The 19079-nt window shown below is 45.6% G+C and overlaps 5 annotated features.

The window, feature by feature from the left end:
• Positions 5449–5598: a transcriptional cis regulatory region, noted in NCBI's record as "candidate enhancer chr11.1732 targeted for multiplex CRISPR interference". NCBI's record gives its function as "positively regulates LMO2 gene expression with high confidence in K562 cells {active_cell/tissue: K562}" and the evidence as "EXISTENCE:mutant phenotype evidence [ECO:0000015][PMID:30612741]".
• Positions 9535–10282: a transcriptional cis regulatory region, noted in NCBI's record as "candidate enhancer chr11.1733 targeted for multiplex CRISPR interference". NCBI's record gives its function as "positively regulates LMO2 gene expression with high confidence in K562 cells {active_cell/tissue: K562}" and the evidence as "EXISTENCE:mutant phenotype evidence [ECO:0000015][PMID:30612741]".
• Positions 14109–14706: a transcriptional cis regulatory region, noted in NCBI's record as "candidate enhancer chr11.1734 targeted for multiplex CRISPR interference". NCBI's record gives its function as "positively regulates CAT and LMO2 gene expression with high confidence in K562 cells {active_cell/tissue: K562}" and the evidence as "EXISTENCE:mutant phenotype evidence [ECO:0000015][PMID:30612741]".
• Positions 15303–18874: an enhancer, noted in NCBI's record as "VISTA enhancer hs1858". NCBI's record gives its function as "enhancer in: heart[4/7] | liver[4/7]" and the evidence as "EXISTENCE:transgenic organism evidence [ECO:0001131][PMID:17130149]".
• Positions 17199–17822: a transcriptional cis regulatory region, noted in NCBI's record as "candidate enhancer chr11.1735 targeted for multiplex CRISPR interference". NCBI's record gives its function as "positively regulates APIP, CAT, LMO2 and NAT10 gene expression with high confidence in K562 cells {active_cell/tissue: K562}" and the evidence as "EXISTENCE:mutant phenotype evidence [ECO:0000015][PMID:30612741]".

Raw genomic sequence — 19079 nt, forward strand, 5'->3', positions numbered from 1 at the left:
GCTTGGAACTAGCACCATTGTCATTTACACCGCTTTCTATCGGCCAAGACAAATCATGAGGTTCAAGGGGTGGGGATATAGTCTTCACCTCTCAATGGGAGGAGCTGCAAAGGAAATTGCAAAAGACCTGGGAATAGGGGAAAGGAAAGAAGGAGAGCCACTTTGGAGATCAGTCTACCACATAGCATTTCCCACCCAGCAGCAAAATACATTTGATACATAAAATTTAGAAGCATGCCCAGAAAAGGTTTGCAGTACTCCAGAATGCCAAAGTACACAGGTTGAGAACCATTAGCATACTGGTTAAGAATTGGGACTATAGTGTCAGACATCTGCATTTCAATTCCTCCTCTACCACCCCTAGATGACCTTGGGCAAGTTCTCAACCTTTCTAAGATTCTTCACCTAAAAAGTGAGAAAAATAATAGCATCTATATGACAAGGTTGTGAAGATTAAATGGTAATATCTGTTATAAAGTGCCTAACACATGGCTTCCCACATAATAAGTGCTCAATAAATAGCAATGATAATTATTATTAGTTTCATAATAAGGTGCCAAAGCAGGAACTGGAGTGTCTGGATTCACCCTGATACTGTCATCACCTTCAATCCATTTAGCTCACCCTCAGGAATGCCACCAAGTTTTGGTAAAGGTAGGCTCATAAAAGGAAAAAAAAAGCATCAGTCTCTATAGTAATTAATTAAGTATATGTCCCTATGTGCTTTCCAGTTTGCCCCCAGAGTATCATAGTTTTGAAGTGTGCTGGCATTCACAGATAATCTCAGATGTGGCCAAAGATTTAGCCACAAGAATTTTCAGCATATCATTGCCAATAATGGTGAAAAATTGGAACCCACAGAAGATTGGCTAAATAATAATACCTTATATGATTGAATACAATGTAGCTATTAAATATGATGTTGTAGGATATTTAATTACATAGAAAGATGCGGATGATATGTTGCTTAGAGAGAACAGCAAGGAACTGCACATAGGGTAATGGGCTTTTTTGATTCTCCCACATTGCCTAGCACAGCTGTAAGTGCAGCATGAGGGTTCTATAATTCCTTATTGGTCAATACCAGAACTTCAGGAAGGTGGACGTTTAGGCAATCTCCTCTTCCATTGAAGTATCATTTTTCTGACTTCAACCATGTGGTTCTTCAATCTTTATCACATTCTAAATCCAATCATTAATAAACATATGAAGTGTTCATCCTCATTAATAGTCAAGGACAAGCAAATCAAAACAACTCTGAGATACCACTACACACCCACCTAAATGGCTAAAATTTAAAAGACTGACAATACCAAGTGTTGGTTAGGAAGTGGAGCAATGGCAACTCACATACACCCTTTTGAAATTAGTTTTGCTGAAGCTGTAAAAATTGAGTGTTTATACATTGTGTATATGACCCACAAGCCCACTTTTAGTTGACGCTCGACAGAAATGTGTGTGCGTGTACTCTAAAATACACACACAGGAATATTTATGGCAGCATTATTTAGAACAGCCACGGGCCAGGTGTGGTAGCTCACACCTATAATCCCAGCACTTTGGGAGACCAAGGCAGAAGGATTGCTTGAGGCCAGGAGATTGAGACCAGCCTGGGCAACATAGTGAGACCTGATCTCTACAAAACACAAAAAATTAGCTAGGTATGGTGGCATACACCTGTAGTGGTAGGTACTTGGGAGGCTGAGGTGGGAGGATCCCTTGAGCCCAAGAGTTGGAGGCTGCAGTGAGCTATAATTTTGCCACTGCATTATGGCCACAGAGCGAGACTCTTTCTCTTAAAAACAAAACAAAACAAAACAAAAAAACAGAACAGCCACAAACTGGAAACAATCCATATGTCCATTTATAATAAAATCGTTAATGTCCATTTGTAATAAAATTGATAACTTGTGTTATACGCATACAGAGAATTCTCTGTCATAATGAAAATGAATGAAGTATAGCTATAAGCAACAAAACAAAGTGGAACAAAATAAGCCAAATATTAAAATATATACCCTCTCATAAACTGTATTATATACTTTCATTTATATAAAGTTTAAACACCTAAAACTAAACTATAGTATTAAAAGTCAGGATAGCAGTTACTTTGGGGAGGAGAGAGGAAGCAGTGATTAGGTGGAACTCTTGAAGTGCTGGAGGTTCTGGGGTGCTGGTAATAACCTATTCTTGATCTGGATGGTAGTCGCATGGTGTTTGCTTTATGAAAACTCATGAGGCCGGGCACGGTGGCTCACGCCTGTAATCCCAACACTTTGAGAGGCCGAGGTGGGCGGATCACTTGAGATCAGGAGTTCGAGACTAGCCTGGCCAGCATGGTGAAACCCCATCTCTACTAAAAATACAAAAATTGGCCAGACAAGGTGGCAGGCGCCTGTAGTCCCAGCTGTGCAGGAGGCTAAGGCATGAAAATCATTTGAACCCCCGAGGCAGAGGTACAGTGAGCCGAGATCATGCCACTGCACTCCAGCCTGCAACAGAGACCTCTCAAAAAAAAAGAAAGAAAAAAGAAAGAAAATTCATGAGCTATACACTTAATAAGCTGTGTACTTTCTAGGTATGTTGTATACTTTACAATACAATGTTTTCATATAATAAATTTAAAATGGATCATATAATACATTTAAAATGGATCATATAATAAGACATGGCTTTACAGCACTTTCTAGGAGTTAATGCCTAACAAACTGGGATTCACTGTCTCTTAGGATTCCTCAAGGGACAAGAGAGCATCCCTCTGAGTGTTGCCTGACTCCCCAGGCACCTTGGGTGCCACATAAACAACAAGCACAGCCCAGCTCCTGACGATAGAGCCCAATCTGGCAGCAAATTGAGACCAGCAGAAACCCCAGTTGGGGGATTTCTGTGAGGAGCCCAAACAAGGAAAGAGACCCACCCCATAGGCACTGGTGGCTCATGGAAGCCTGTCCCTCTGCCTGTGTTGGAGATAGGAGAGCATTTAGACTTGAATAAAGCCCCTACCAGCCCCCACTGAAGGAGCTGTTTGTTTCCAAAGGCCTGGTGGAACAACTAACTGTAAGCTAGGGAGAGGAAATTACACAATGGATGTTGAAATGTGGGCTTGTTGAAAAGTTGTCACTCGAGTAATGAATGCCCTATTTCCTGTTTTTTTGCCGAAAGTTAAATGCTGGGCATAATTAGCTAGTAAAAAAGCAAGCTTGGCAGCAGAACAAAAATAGCACATTTTGGGAGCCCAGGCCAATTAAAATTGTTTATGCAGCCATTTAGCAATATTTTTCTCCAAACTATTATGACCGGGAAATATGCAGCATGAGACTGTAAGGCAAGTTCCTCAGAAGAAAAATGGCCCACACACTGATCCTTTAAACAGCCTGCTGTTCTCAGGGGATTTTATAATAAGAATGAACACTTCCATCCTCCTGAACTCCCTGGGCCTCCTTGGGATCTTGAGAACAGCATCAGTCACACTCTGTAGCAGGCAGCTGTTGACGAGGCGCTGCAACCTGCTAATGTTAAGATTAGCCAAGTTCCCTATGTGTTAGCGGGGCCAACGATTATGGATTTAGCTGCCTAATGCAGTCATTTAAATCATCTGGCTGATGCCATAATCGGACTGAGTATATGAAATATTTTTGTTAATAACTGGACACTCTGACTGGTCTTAGGATTCCTTCCTTGCTAGAACTCAGCAAAATTGCCCTTGGCAAGGTTTGTCTCGATTCCAGCTCTTCTCATTGCTGTCTCTCCCACTCCCTGTGACCCTGACAATCTTCCACCTTAAGTACTCAGATTACATCTTTCTTTCCCTCTCCAGCCTTCCTGTCAAAACCTGCTTTCAGATTCTTCATTTACAGTAGGGTAGAATAGAATAGTCTGATGACAGCTTTCAATGCTAGCAATCACAGCTTCTAGCTAAGACATGAAGCTGTGATTATGAAATTCCAGGCATTACCCCACTGGATCAAGGAATGGTGTGGGCAGTTTGGAGGCAGGGATCTTCTCAGCCTCCCCCCCACCAAATTAGCCCAAGATAAAAAGCCTATTTTACTTAAGTTACCAAGATAACCCACTTGGTTGAACCCCTTTATTGGCTGATAGGAGAGAGAAGATTTCTAGAGATTTTCACTCAATGCCCCAGAAGCTACTGCACATTTTGTCTGAGCTTGGCCACCTCCTCTGCCAGAGTTGTGGATGGCAGCTCACAGGCGCTTGCCAGCCCAGAGGCATTGAGGGGAGCACCTGGGAGGCTATTAAAGCCTTTTATCCTTGCTGGATTGGACAGAATTATTCAAACAGCAGAGGAGCCATCTCCTTCCTTCCTGTTCACCCTCTGTTCTTTTTTATAATGAGTTATTCATTTGTTCATTACTTCATATGTAGGTAGTACTTATAAATATACGATTGTTAGAGGCAAAATGCTTGTTCCTCGGTGCCACAAAGAAATAGCACTCGAACATAAATTTAATTTTCTCAGCAAGGCAATTTTTACTTCTATAGAAGGGTGCGACTCACGGATGGAGTAATGGCAAAAGCACACCTGAACAAGGGAGGGGAAGGGGTTCTTATTTCTGATGCAGGTAGCCCCTACAGCTGTGTTGCTCCCCTATTGGCTAGGGTTGGACCGCATAGTCTAAGCTAATTCCGATTGACTATTTTAAAGAGAGCAGGCGTATGAGCCAGAGTGGTGGGGTGAGCAGTTTGGCGGGAAAGACAGTTACGGAACAGGTAACTAAAGGTGACTTAGGTCAGAGCAGGTGACCAGGAGTGACTCAGGTTAAAGCAGGTGACCGGGATGAGTCAGGACGGAGCAGGTGACCAGGGGAACAGATGTGAACTACTGATTAAAACTGGTGGAAAAGGTTGTTTACTGAAACTATGAGGAAGTTAAACTTTAAAATGGAGGACAAAGAACTGAACATACTGACATACTGATTCTTCGAAGAGAAATCTAGAACTCACTGTATCCAACACGGATGAATCAAAAACAATTTAACTTGACATTAATGGATCTCTTGGGCTTGACCCCAGCCTCCCCGTCTCACCTTTTCTCTGACTACTCATTTTCCTGAGTTTGCCAAGAACCGCTGGCCTCAGAGGCACATGCTGTACTTTTCTACTTTCGTGCTTTGTTCGGGCTCTATCTCCTGCCTATGCTCCTTTTTCTCCACATATGCAAATCTCTCCCATCACATAAGGCCAACCTGAATCCCACTTCTTACCATCTCTGACCACTTCCGGCCACAGTGATCTCCTGTTCATCTGAACGCCTATAGCATTTATTCCCTCATCGTGTGCGTGGCCTTTAGTCAAGAATGGCTTTTGACATGTCCTGCATTGCTATGGAATGTTTTTGGCAGGGGGAGAGGGTGGCATAGGGTCAGACTCCCTCCCTCCCTCCAGCCTATGGGCATTTGAGTCAGGAAGGGACCCTGGTCCACAGTTCCAGGTCAGAACTAAATGAAGTTCCTGGCAATAGTCCCACCCGCTGGGTCCCCACAGGAATTTCCTGTTAACACCCCCGCCCTCTGCCCTCCATTTCCTCTCCTCCAGGCCCCACCTCTGTCATGAGTTGCCCTGATAGCACCTCCATTCTCTCTCCCCTCCACTTCAATAAGCAGTACAAGGCTTAAGATAAGAAAACCTTATGGGGTCAGCTCCGCAGCCCCAAAAGTGCCACCATGTTGATTTTATTTTGTTTCTACAGGTAGATGTGGTTGCAGTGGCTGTAGTAACCCTTTGCAAAAACCAGTGATTTTGAAAGGTTATCAACCCTCTGTTATTCATTCAGCAAATATTTTCTCAGCACATCTGTGTCCCATACCCTGTGTGGGACCCCGAGAATATAGCAATGAGCAGATGTCAGCCCCTACCCTCCGTCTTCAAGGAGCTGGTCGTCTAGAAGGTGATCCAGGCTGTTAAACAAGCAGTTAGTCCAAATTCTGTATGATGGTGCTGCCAGAGGGCTAAGGTATCCCAAGTGGATAAAATTCTGTTTTGTTCAACAATATCTGCTGAGAATCTGGGCCCACAATGCTCTTCTATAGTTCTTTTCAGAGGCTGCAAGTTCTTCGTTAGTGTTTCACACAAGTCTTCAAAAATCTCAGGTTGTTCCTATTACCTGTTAATATTAGCAGCAATCTTTATTTATGTATTTATTTATTTTTAAAGTGCTGGTCACAACACTTATCAGAATTCTTCATGGATTTCAAGACAATAATTAGGTCATGCCTCCAGCTTTCCACCAGGTGCTTTAACTTTGTCTAGTGTTTAAAATTATGCTACAAAAGCAGTAATTCAGGCACCAAGGCTACTAGCTATTGCTTACTGAGCATGTTTCCAGTGCCGGGCACATTCCACAGGGTATATCATTTACTCCTCACACAGGTCTGGAAGAGAAGTCTGAAGGCCAGAAGGGGCCTGAGTTACCTCATACACCAGGCCATCAGCACCTCCTTTGAGTCTACATTCTCAGCTGTCTACCTAGTGAGCTTCTATTATTTTGGCCAGACCCTCATCTGTTCTCTTCTCTTTCTGGTATCATCACTCACCTTTGCTAGATACAGACCATCTAGTTGCCCCAACCTCCTTTGACCAAAAGGTAGGCAAATGACTGAAACTAGACCCAACTGATATTGAATTTGAACTTGAACTTGATATTGAACTCCCTTGAACTTGAATCTTAAGAAGCTTGGCTGGTGCTGATCTAGCCCACCGAGTCCCGAAGAGACTTTCCTTTAAGTCTCACTTTGCTTAAGTCCATCACAGTTTATTTCTGTTACCTGCAACCAACAAACTTAACCAAAACTGTCATTACTTACAAGCTGGTGCTGACAAACACAAATCTTATTATTCTCCTTTTGTTCCAAAGAGAGAAAGCTGATGCTGCCTGAAATTTGCGAAGTCCCCTCAGCACTTTCTGAAAGTTGGAGAGTCTTGGGTGCCAGGGCCACAGACCGTGGGACATTTGAGAAAGGAACTGCCTGATAAACAGCAAACGTGCCAAGCGAATGCTTTCAGGGAAACGAGGGTTGTCTGAACACTATTGATTCTAGGTCCACTAATGGTTCAGGCTGTGAGGCTGGGTGTGACAGCTCTGCCTTGCTCAGTGCTGTTAACGTACTGCCAAGTCAGGCCTATTTTCTGGTATCAGCAGGGAAATGGGAGACTATTAAGGAAGCACCTTATCAGGAACTGAGCTCAGTGTCACTGGGGAGATGGTGGCAATTAGCATGATGGAAGCCATGAAACAGCCCCCGCTCCTAGCCAGGTGCAGAAGAAATTAGTAGGAGGCCTCCTGACAGGTCAGCATAGGCCCCAACAGGAAGAGGTCCCTGGGCAAATGCTGATGCTGGCTTTTCTCCCATTGGGAAGATCCCTACCCCTTCCTAGCCATCTTCTGATGTGCTCTCCACACACTCATTTGTGGGTGTCTGTCTATCTACTTTGCCTTTCCCCAGTTGCAAAAGCAATAAAAAACCCCTCTCATTTGAATGGTGCTGTCGCATTGATTATGTCAGGCAGCAGTGTGGGCAAGGGCCCAAGCTTTGGAGACTAAAGTGTCTGGGACAAATGGGTGAATAAGACAGACACTGTCTTTGCCTTCCGTGGCCCTCAATCTAGAGGAAGCTACAAGTGAATGTGTGAGGGGCCTTACTTTGAAGAAACGCTCACACATGGCTCATCACTTCTCTCCCACCCTTTACCCCTTTCCAGACACAGGTGATGTAAAGGAAGTGGGTCTAGCCTGCAAGCTGGGAAACCCATTTCCTGCCCTGCGTGAGTTTACTGTGTGACATCTCAAAGACCCCTTTGCCTTTCTGAGCTTCTGTTTTCTCAACTATAAAATGAGGCAACCACTAGGTGTTCTCGGAGTTAGTGCAGCTCTCCAAGAAGCAGATCCCAGGAAAGGATTGAACATGTGAGGACTTAACAAGAAGAAATGCCTGTGAGAAAAATGGTGAGGGAGCTGGGAAAAGCTAAGAGAGCCTCGGAGGCCCCATGAGGCAGGTCTGACTCTGAGTGAGGAAGAGCGAGAAGGAGGGTGAAATGGAGGCAACTTAGACTGTACTGCAGTCTAAGGAAGGCTCAGAAAGGCCATCACGGAGTCCTTGAGCCAAAGTTGGCTATCAGAGGAGTCCGGTGTCTTCCAGGAACAGGCCTGCTTTAGCCTCTCTGCTGCATTCTGTCATCTGGAAGCAGCTTGCGGGAGACCGGGCCTTGGAGCACACAGTGATGGATTGTGGAGCCAGCAGCTGGGGCCTCCTGTCGTTGGAGGGCAGCAAGGTGCATTCTTTTGGCAACAGCAATCTCAAAGCATCCTGGATGCCCTGCTGTCCAATGTGACAACAGACCCCAGACCCATGGCAACTTGAGAGGGCCTGGCTGGGCACAGCTCGGCAGGCCGACCTCTTACCTAGCCCCTGCGTGGCAGCTGTTCTCAGACATTCCCTGATGGCAAAATTGACAGGATATTTATGTTTGTTTGACACGTTGGGATCAAATGTTTCCTGTCTCTCCTATTTTTGGCCTTGCTTTGGTCTTCAGAGAAGGGAAGCTGGGGGCTTCAGTTTCCCTGCTGTTGTCTTTGTTTGAAGTAAAGCCAAACAAAAGACGCCCTACCCTGATCATGTCTGTCCTGCCTTTCCTGGGGCCTCCCAGCCCTGCAGCAGCTCTGCCTCCTGGACCCTCCATGCATGTGTCTACACGTAGGAAGCAGTATGGGTCTGGAATTCAACTTCTAGGTGGGTCTGGGCTTAGACAAACCTGGATATGTGTATCTGTTCCACCACTGTTAGCGGCATAACCCTGAGCAAATGGTCACCTTGGTAAGCCTTAACTTCCTCATCTATAAAATGGGCATATTTGCCTAACTCATTGCTTGAATCCAGGAGTTCAAGACCAGCATGGGCAAAAGAGTGAAACCTTATCCCTAAAAGATATAATAATAATAAGTTAAAATTAGCTGAGTGTGTGTGGTGGCATGCACCTGTGGTCCCAGCAACTCGGGAGGCTGAGGTGGGAGGATCATTTGAGTCAGAGAGATTGAGGCTGCAGTGAGCCATGATCACACCACTTCACTCCAGCCTGGGTGACAGAGCAAGACCCTGTCAAAAAACAACAACAACAACAACAAAAAAACAACAACAAAAAAAAAACCTACCTTATAGAGTCATTGCGAGGATTAAATAAGATAAGGCACACACATGAAGTCTTCAGTTCTTCAGTATAGCTTGGCTTATGGTACATGCTCAGTGAATGATACTTACTAGTTGTAGCACTTACAAAACGTCTACTGTCAGTCTTATTATTACCATCAGTAGTATCTTCTGGTGAGTGACATGGAGGTCTTGGAAGTTTCTCCTATCCTCAAGAAGCACACAGACTAGAATAATAACACACAAAAAGCCTTGCTGAGATCAGCTACTAGGGTTTTGGAGGCTGGTTTGCAGAAGTTTGTCACAGTCAGGTCTGTCTCATTCATTTTTCCACTTTCACAAGACTTCCCTCTCATGTCTGCATGTGTGTTCTGAATGGATGGGCAGTGTCTTAGACCCAGCACACCACAGCATGTAGAGATGGTGCTCCAGGCATGATGAGAGTACATTCCAGGCACTGAGCGGACTGGGGGCCAGGAAGAGAGCTGGTTGGGAGTGATGATAGATACAGCAGGAGGGAGAGGTGTGCCCTCAAGCCCCGGTGATAAAGGGCCTCATAGACCAGATTAAGGAATTGGACTTGATCCTGAAGGCAACGAGGGTGCCCTTGAAGAGTTTCAAGTGGGAGAGTGATGTAATCAGATTTGTCTGATGGCTTCAGAACAATGTACCAGGTTAGTCCCTTTCCCTGGGGAAAGCCTGTCCCCTGGGGAGGAAAATATGAAGAGAAAGAACTGGAATTGCCACCACCCCTTAAAAGCACTGCCTGCTCAAACTTTCCCTGACCTGTCGCGTCTGAACAAAGGCCCCACGGCCAGCTGGAGAGGAGCCTTGTTGATTACTCACAATTCCCTTCCCGAGAGGACGGGCGCTGATGTGTTTTCTCTTGATAACACTGGCTCCTTTCGAGCAATAGGACTTCCTGTCTGATCGGAGAGCAATTACTGCACCTCCAAAGAGAAAACGCTTTAAACAAATCCAGTTTTAGCCCTCTGTGATAACGGAGACGTTTGCTCACTCATCAACCATTAGCCCTGAGCTTAAGGAAGAGTGAGTACTTAGGACCAGGATGATGTTTCCAGATCTGTTTGGTAAAAGATTCCAGTGGCCGAAGGGGATGTATTCCCAGGGAATCTGGGCCCCCTGCTCCAGCCTGGGCTTGGAGCTCCTGGCTCTCCTGATTCTCCCCAACCCACAACAACCCCCACACATCACAACCCTAAGGTTGGCCTACTTGGGGCAAGTTGTAGCTGCTCAGATCAAACTCGGTGTCTCTTGGTCCATTTATATGAGAAGATCATAAGGAAATCTGCATGAAGACAATTTGTTACCCAGCAGCCAAAAGTTAAAACTTTTTTTTTCTTCTCACTTTAGGTTTTTGTTGTTGTTGTTTTTGTTGTTTTATACAGGGTCTCACTCCATCACCCAGGCCAGAATGCAGTTGTGTGATCAAGTCTCACTGCAACCTCTCTCTCCTGGATTTAAGCTCTCTTCCCATCTCAGCCTCCCAGGTAGCTGGGACTACAGGTACATGCCACCATGCCCAGCTAATTTTTTGTGTTTTTAATAGAGATGGGGCTTCACCATGTTGCCCAAGCTGCTCTCGAACTCCTGGGCTCAAGTGATCCATCTACCTCGGTCTCCCAAAGTGCTTGATTACAGGCATGAGCCACGGCACCTGGCTGGGAGATTTCAAAACAGAAAATTCTACCCCCAACATTCTTACCAGAGACCATGAGTTGTCATAACTGTCTCCTTTCCAGGACCTGCTGAAATATCCCTCACTCCTTCCTTGCTATTGTAAGACTAAGAAAAGGATAAAAGGGAGATAATCATATTAGTTAACACTTACATGGTGCTTGCAATGTGCCAGGCACTGCTCTAAGCACTTCACGTATATTAAATCCTGTAATCCTCAAAATGACCCTGTGACAATACTACTATTATTATTACCACTTTTCAATGAGACAACTGAGGCATAAGGGAGTTAAGAAACTCGCCAAAGGTCACACAGTGTACCGCACAGCCAGACTCCAGACCCAGGCAGTCCTGGCTGCAGATTCTCCCCTCGAAACCACCATGTGTACTACCTCACACAACCATCATGCTCTCCCCTCACCTGAACCTTCTCCTGTATTCAATCCTGGCTCCATCCTTACCTCTTCCAGGAGGTTTTCCTGAGCCTACAAGTTCCTCGAGAGCAGGGATAGTAATCTTACTCATCTCTGCCTCCTTGGCACTTTGCACCTAACTGATGCTCAGAATATTTGCTGAATAAATATAATAATTTGTTGAGCACTGACCAGAGATTCTTTGCATCCTAAGGACTTTTGTAACTGTCAGCACTCTCTAAGTCGTAACAGCTTGTAATGTGCTCATGACTATCCTCACAAGTGAATGCTTTGTGTCCTGGCGTAGACTGTGAGATCCACTGGCCTTCCTTGGCAGGATGCTCAGTCCGAAATAAGTGCACAGTCGGTGTTCTGATCTGGCATTTTCTCTACTTTCCTTCATACTAGGTGTGGCAGGCAAAATAATGGTTCCCTCAAAATTCCAATCCCAATCCCCAGAACCTGTGGATATGTTATGTTATACAACAGTGAGGGAGAAGTAAGTTTACACATAGAACCAGGTTGCTAATCCGCTGGCCTTGAGATGGGGAGAGCATCCTGGATCATCCAGGTGGGCCCAATACAATCACAAGCGTCCTTATAAACAAGAATCAGAGTCCAGTTGGAAGATATATACTGCTGACTTTGAAGCTGGAGGAAGGGGCAAAATAATGGCTCCCCCAAAACGTTCATATTCCAATCCGCAGAACCTGTGGATATGCTATGTTATACAATAGCAAGGACCCAAGGAGTTCAGATAACCTCCAGATTCTCTCCCAGAGACTCCAGATAAATGCAGCCCATCAACACCTTGATTTTAGCCCCATGACACCCATTTTAGGCTCTGACCTGCAGAACTTAACATAATACATTTGCACTGGGTTTTTGTTTGTTTGTTTGTTTGTTTGTTTGAGACTTAGTTTCACTCTTGTTGCCCAGGCTGGAGAGCAATGGCGCAATCTCTGCCCACTGCAACCTCTGCCTCTGGGGTTCAAGTGATTCTCTTGCCTCAGCCTCCCAAGTAGCTGGGATTACAGGCACCCGCTACCATGCCCAGCTAATTTTTGTGTTTTTTGTAGAGACAGAGTTTCACCATGTTGGTCAGGCTGGTCTCGAACTCCTGACCTCAGGTGATCCACCTGCCTCGGCCTCCCAAAGTGCTGGGATTACAGGCGTGAGCCACTGTGCCCAGCCAACTTGCACAGTCTTAAGCTCCTAAGGTTGTGGTGATTTGTTATAGCAGCCATAAGAAACTGATACACTGGTACTGGATGTAGGACAAAATCAACATGGTCTCTGCCCTTACAGAGCTTGCTGAATATTCCCAATGTCTGGGGACTCTGGTTCTGGCAGACAGTTCCTGAAACACATTGGGTCCCAGAAGCATTTCTGGGGCAGTGCGAGATCTGCCCTGTCTGGGGCTGAGAGCCTGTCAGTGGGGTTTCGTGCTCTCTTTGGCAAACTTACCTCCTTTTGCTACCATATATTGAGCATTGAGCATTTTCTACGTGCTAGTGACTACACTAAGTGTTTTGCATACAGATCTAATTTCATCCTGACCACAGTGCTCTGAGAGAGGTATTTTTATCGCCATTTACCAGATGAAGAAACTGAGGCTCTGAGAGGAAAAGTGACTTTCCTAAGAGCACACAACTAGTAAGTGGCAGGTATGAGCCCAAGACTTCTGACTCTGAGCTCACACATGCTGCCAGCCACACTGCTTTGGTTCCAACCTCTGCAAGGCAGGGTCCAAGGCAGGCCAACCCCACCCTGCTTCAGCCCAGCCCCATTCACACCTCAAGGCAGTTGCAGGGCCCACTCAAGGGTTCCAGTAATAGGGCAGAGTCCTTTGTCTAGGCAAATGCTATTCCCACCCAGGAGCACAGATGGGTGTTTTCCTCCCAGAAGCCTGACTGAGGCTGAAATATGCATGATTCAGTGAAGCTCATGAGGGGCTGTCCTGGATAAAAACCCTTGGGCAGTCCGGGTGTAGTGGCTAACACCTATAATCCCAGCACTTTGAGAGGCCAAGGTGGGCGGGTCACTTGAGATCAGGAGTTGGAGACCAGCCCAGCCAACATGGTGAAACCCTGTCTCTACTAATAATACAAAAATTAGCCGGGCATGGTAGCACACACCTGTAATCCCAGCTACTAGGGAGGCTGAGGCACAAGAATCGCTTGAACCCCGGACGTGGAGGTTGCAGTGAGCCAAGATCGCACCACTGTACTCCAGCCTGGGTGACAGAGTGAAACTGTCTCAACAAACAAACAAATAAACAAACAAAAAGCCCTTGGGCAGAGTGGGTGATACGGCAGCACCCAGCAGGATTAGAGACTGCCTGCCAAGTGCACAGAGAGAGACGTGGGTTCTGATTCCCGGGGAGCTCAGGCCTGGGGAATGGCCCCTAAGGCAGCTGAGACTGGGATGTGGCTCTACTCCAGGCCTTCTCATCAGGCCAGCTTCATCCCTCCTCAGCCTTCATCTCTGAGGTGGCTGCATTTCCACCAAGCAGAGGCACCCCGATCCAGCCTTCAGGAAATTATTGCTTGGGGTTGGGGGCAGTACTTAGTGGCAATAACAACAATGGCAATAATAATAATATAGTTACCATTTATCAGGTGCTTACAAACGTTAAAGTAATCCCATTTAACCCCCACAATGATCATTTGAGGTAGATTCTCTTATCATCCTCACTTTACAAATGGGGAAACTGAGGCTCAAAGAATGGACTTCTCAAAGTCACACAGCCAGTAAACATAGAGCCTGGTTCCTCCAGCTCCAAAGCACATGCTGTCGTAGGAGTTAGGGACACATTTACAACTGAAATCATTAACCAGGTTGCTTGTCATCATGACCTAAAAAAGAAAAAAAATGGTGGGGGGTGGTCTCTAGCCTGCTTCCATTTCTCCAATGATCCTGGCTCTGATGCAGCTCTTGGCTCTTGGTTTGGGAACCCTGCTGTGGGACTCAGGGCTCTCTGGCCAGCAAAGGGTGTGTGTGTCTGTGGGGCGAGCCACGCTATCACACTGAAGTAGAGTAGAGAGGAAGTGACTCAATCATCAAAGGCCTGGTCTTCCTCGGGGAACTGTCCCTAATCACAATTATCCCACTACAATAATACCATTTCAGAGACACTGTGAGCCAGGGCACTGTGTAGCCATGTAAACTGCTTCCTGTATCTGCCAAACCCAACAGCATTCGGCAATTAATAGAATCCAGCGAGGCCTCCTGCTCCGATAAGGCCAGAGCCATGCTGCTGCTGGCCTTGTTGTTCTAATGACGAATAGCCCTTACATTGCAAAGTCATCCTCTCCTCCCTGCTAGTGGGGCCACAGTGGCCTGGGGTCCCAGGAGGCCAAGGAGGGCTATGCACAATCTGCTTGGTCTTAAAATTTCATTGAGATGAAAATTATTTTCACTGTCTTGCTAAATAAAAATCATGACTATCCAGGTCACCCTCAGATTCCTTGGTGGAAAGGTGATGATGTGGGAATGGGTAGGACCCCTGCAGCCTAGAATGGAAACCCCAAGTAAGTAGGCACTTCATGAGGTGGCTCAAAGGAAGAAGGAGTTAGAAAAAGTTAATACAATGTGACCTCTAGATTGTATCAGGGCTCTGGGATATTCACGAACCTCAGATCCTTGGCAGAGGGCGGTGGCTCACACCTGCAATCCCAGCATTTTGGGAGGCTGAGGTGGGAGGATACCTTAAGGCCAGGAGTTCAAGATCAGCCTGGGCAATATAGTGAGACCCCATCTCTCCAAAAATTTTTTTAAATAGCTAGGCATGGTGGTACATACCTGTAGTCCAGCTACTTGGAAGACTGAGGCAGGAAGGTCCCCTGAGCCCAGGATTTTGAGGCTGCAGTGAGCTATGATTGCATTACTGCACTCCAGCCTTGGAGACAGAGTGAGACCCCCATCCCTTAAAAAAAAAAAAAAAAAAAAAAAGAGCCTAGGATCCTCATAATCAACTGCTTTGCAAGGCATAGAGAAACACTGGGGAAAATGATGTAGCCCCACAGAAATTCTTTGTGGTCCTCCAGATGCTGTTGGGAGATGCTGTTTCAGTTTTAGGGCCTTCCTGAATGTCCAGGGTGAATGTAGTTTGACAAATGATGGTGGCCTGGCAGACCCACCTGGGTCTGCCACCCAAGCTCAGGGTCAAACAAGGTAGATGCACTTTAAAACACTGTTCTTCCCATTTTTCTATTTTCCTTTTGGTAACCAGTGCCCTCATTTCTTGCCACTGGGTGGGGCATCCTCATTTTCTTGTGAAGGATCAAGTGTCCGCATTCTCTAGGGGAAGAGTTGATTAATTCATTTGACTCATTTTGGATGCTTCAGCCAAATTCCCACGGAGGTCACGCTGGTCACACTGACTGTGGTGTGATTCTGGCTCTCTTCTCAGAGGAGTGACTTCAGAGCTGGCTCACTCTCCCCCTCCCAAGAACAATGCAAATGAAGGCAAAGGGATTTTTGCCTGAGCAAGGCCAGAAGAAACTTTGGGGAGGAGGGAGAGGCCCAGAGGATGTGGGTGTTTTAAAATTGGCTCTCGATTTTCTGGAAGACATACTCTCTCTTTCAAGGTGATTTGCAAATTGTACTCAAGCATGGTCATTTCCCCTGATTTAGGTCTTTTTTAATTGTTAGTTACTATTCTGAGTTTGGGGCCCATTCTGATGAATTTTCTTGGTAGAATTTTTTTTTTTTTTGAGACAAGTTCTCGCTCTGTTACCCAGGCTGGAATGCAGTGGCAGGATCTTGGCTCACTGCAACCTCCGCCTCCTGGGTTCAAGCGATTCTTGTGCCTCTGCCTCCTGAGTAGCTGGGATGACAGGTGTGCGCCACTACGCCCAGCTAATTTTTGTATTTTCAGTAAAGACAAGGTTTCACCATGTTGGCCAGCCTGGTCTCGAACTCCTGACCTCAAGTGATCCACCTGCCTCGGCCTCCCAGAGAGCTGGGATTACAGGTGTGAGCCACCGTGCCCGGCATTTTTATTATTATTATTATTTTGTAGACACAAGTTTTCACTATGTCGCCCAGCTGGTCTCGAACTCTTGGGCTCAAGCAATCCTCTTGTCTTGGCCTCCCAAAATGCCAAAGTGCTGGGATTTACAGGCGTGAGCCACCGTGCCTGTCCAGAAATCTCTTTTTCAAGCTCTAGTCGTTTTATACTATAATAGAAGGGACTGGGGAGGTAGAGAGGAAGTAGGAATGGAGCGGGTACTCTGGCATAATGGGTGGTAGTTTGGCTGCTAGGATTTGAGTCCCAGCTCTGCACCTCCTCGCTGTGCAACCTTGGACAAGTTACACACCTGTCTCCATCTCAGTCTCCTTGCCTGTATCATGGTGGTAATTATAGGACTCACTGCACAGGATTGTTGTGCTGGTACATGGAAGTGCTCATTACCCACATAGGGAGCTACTAATGATGTTTAATTTTTATTTGTATTAGAGTATCCCTTTTCCCTACTTCTCAGTGTCCAGACCTTCCTCAGGAATAGCCTACCTACGAAACGTCCCTTATTATATGTGTAATAGAATGAAATATACAACTCATACCCAGGTAAGGCTTGGACAGGAGACTCACTACTCAACTAGGTAGTCCATTTCGTTTTCAGATCATTCTGGTTGATAGAGATTTCTTCTTTTATTTGAATTAAATGCTGTTGCTCTGGAGCCATCATTTAGTTTTTGCTGTGCTCTCCAGAACCATAGGAAATTTAGGTCTAACACTGCTTCTGTGTGGAAACTCATCAAATATTACAAAAGAGTTGGTATATTCCTTCCGAGATGTCTCCATCCAGAATGCTTGTGAGTCCAGTCCATGAGGCTGGTCACTCTCATTGGAACATGTCCCCATTTATCAATTTCTGTCTGGTAGGAGGGTGAGATCAAAGAAATCAGAAGACTCATTCGTTTAACAGGAAACACCATCCAAGTTTCATATATTTTGTTACGGAGGTGAATCTCTGCCCCTATGGCACCAAAATGGTTGGAGGTGGCTGATTAATGAGAGGTGGTTCTGGAGACTAAGCACACCCCAATGCCCTGTAGCTGGTAGAACATTTCCGTCACTAGAAGTAATGGAGGTAGCTTTAATGGAAAGATGACAGGGCCCCTCTGAGGCAGGGCTGTGGCTCAGCCTCCCCAAGGCCTGGCAGCAGGTTGGGCCAGATAACAGCTGGATAGCAGCATCAGGGAGCCACAGGAAGACCAGTACTAATCTCTCTGGCCATGTTGTGTGAACATCTGGGATCTGGGGAAGGGACACTATGGTCTTTGATGCATTTGATTTGGGCCCAGGAGACCTCCCACTCCCTTGTCTTCATGTAACAGTTAGCTGCTTCAGAAGATAATATCCAGTCCCAACTTTGTCATACCTAGTTCAAAGGGAATAGCTGACTTTGGCTTTTAGTTGCTCTCTAATGAGCATTTCAGTCCAAATTCCTTGGTCCGAAGTCATATTGAACAGTCATGACTATCACGCATATTTGAGCCTTAAGTTACTTTGTCTAGCTTTTTATATCCTGGGCACTTAGAAAGCATTCGTTCGTTCATTCATTCATCCATCCATCCATCCATCCATCCATCCATCCATCCATCCATCCATATATTCATTCAACAACTTGTGTCTGAGTTCCTACTGTGTGCCAGGCACTGTGGTAGGCATGGGGCTATCACGGTGAGCAAAACCAGGCAGATTGCAGATTCCTGCCCTGGCTGAGCTTAAGATCTAAGTGGTAGAGACATACATTAATTAAAGAATTACTAAAATAGGTACAGAACAACAAACCAAATCAAATGTTACAAAGAAAGGGAGCAAAGTTCTGAAGGAGTGATTTGCTAAGAATCCCATCCAGGACTGTGGGAAGCAGGGAAGGCGTTGCTGAGAAAGCACCCAAGGAGAGAGTGGGTGTCACGTTTACTCCCCAGCCCCCACCCCACACTGCCTAGGGGCCTAGCATGGTCCTCAGCACATAGTAGGTGCTTAATAAAGTTATGTGAATGCAGGAATGTATGCATGTGTTGACCACGTTGCCCTTGATTAGAATAATACCCTGAATGGAATCTCTTAACTATGTAGCTCTCCAGAGTTTATATAATGCTTCATGTGCATAATTTTTTTGTCCTGGGAATGCCCTCAAAGGAGTGGAAAAGATGGATATTGTTCTCCTAGTTGGATGGGTGAGAGAACTGACAAAACTAAGTTTATGTCATAGGAAGGAAGTATAGTGGGTAAAATCTTGCTCTTTGAGTCCTATAGTCCTGGAATAAGCTCTGCATCTTATCAGCTGTGAGAGGCCTGTAATCAAACATGGAGTTCAACAACTTTGCCACATTTTTCCCTGGGCCTGGTGCTTTCCTGAGTTGAAGTTTGCACTAGAGGGCCCAAAGTAATGATTATCTTGTGCTTTTTTTAGGGCCTTGTGAGAACTGGGCTTGCTCGTGGCCCACACAAATAAATAATCTGAGCAATGTCAGTATCCCAGGAAGGAATATGTGAGCTTTTCAACTTTTGACAAGACTTTCTGTAAACTCAACAATCCAACAAATATTTATTCTGTGTTTACACAGAAAAGGCACTGCACTGCTGTAAATATGCTTTCATATCTTAGTAGGGGAATCACCTTCCAGAAATTTCTGTTTTAATAAAATTAATAACCACGGTGACCAACTGTTGAGCCCTCATTATGTACCAGATGCTGTGCTAAGTATTTAATACCCATAGTTAATTCTCATAATGCTACATGATAGGTGGTATTACTCTCCCACCCCCAACACCCATGAGACTTAATTT

Source organism: Homo sapiens, chromosome 11 (assembly GCF_000001405.40).
Source record: "Homo sapiens chromosome 11, GRCh38.p14 Primary Assembly".
Taxonomy (NCBI): Eukaryota; Metazoa; Chordata; class Mammalia; order Primates; family Hominidae; genus Homo; species Homo sapiens.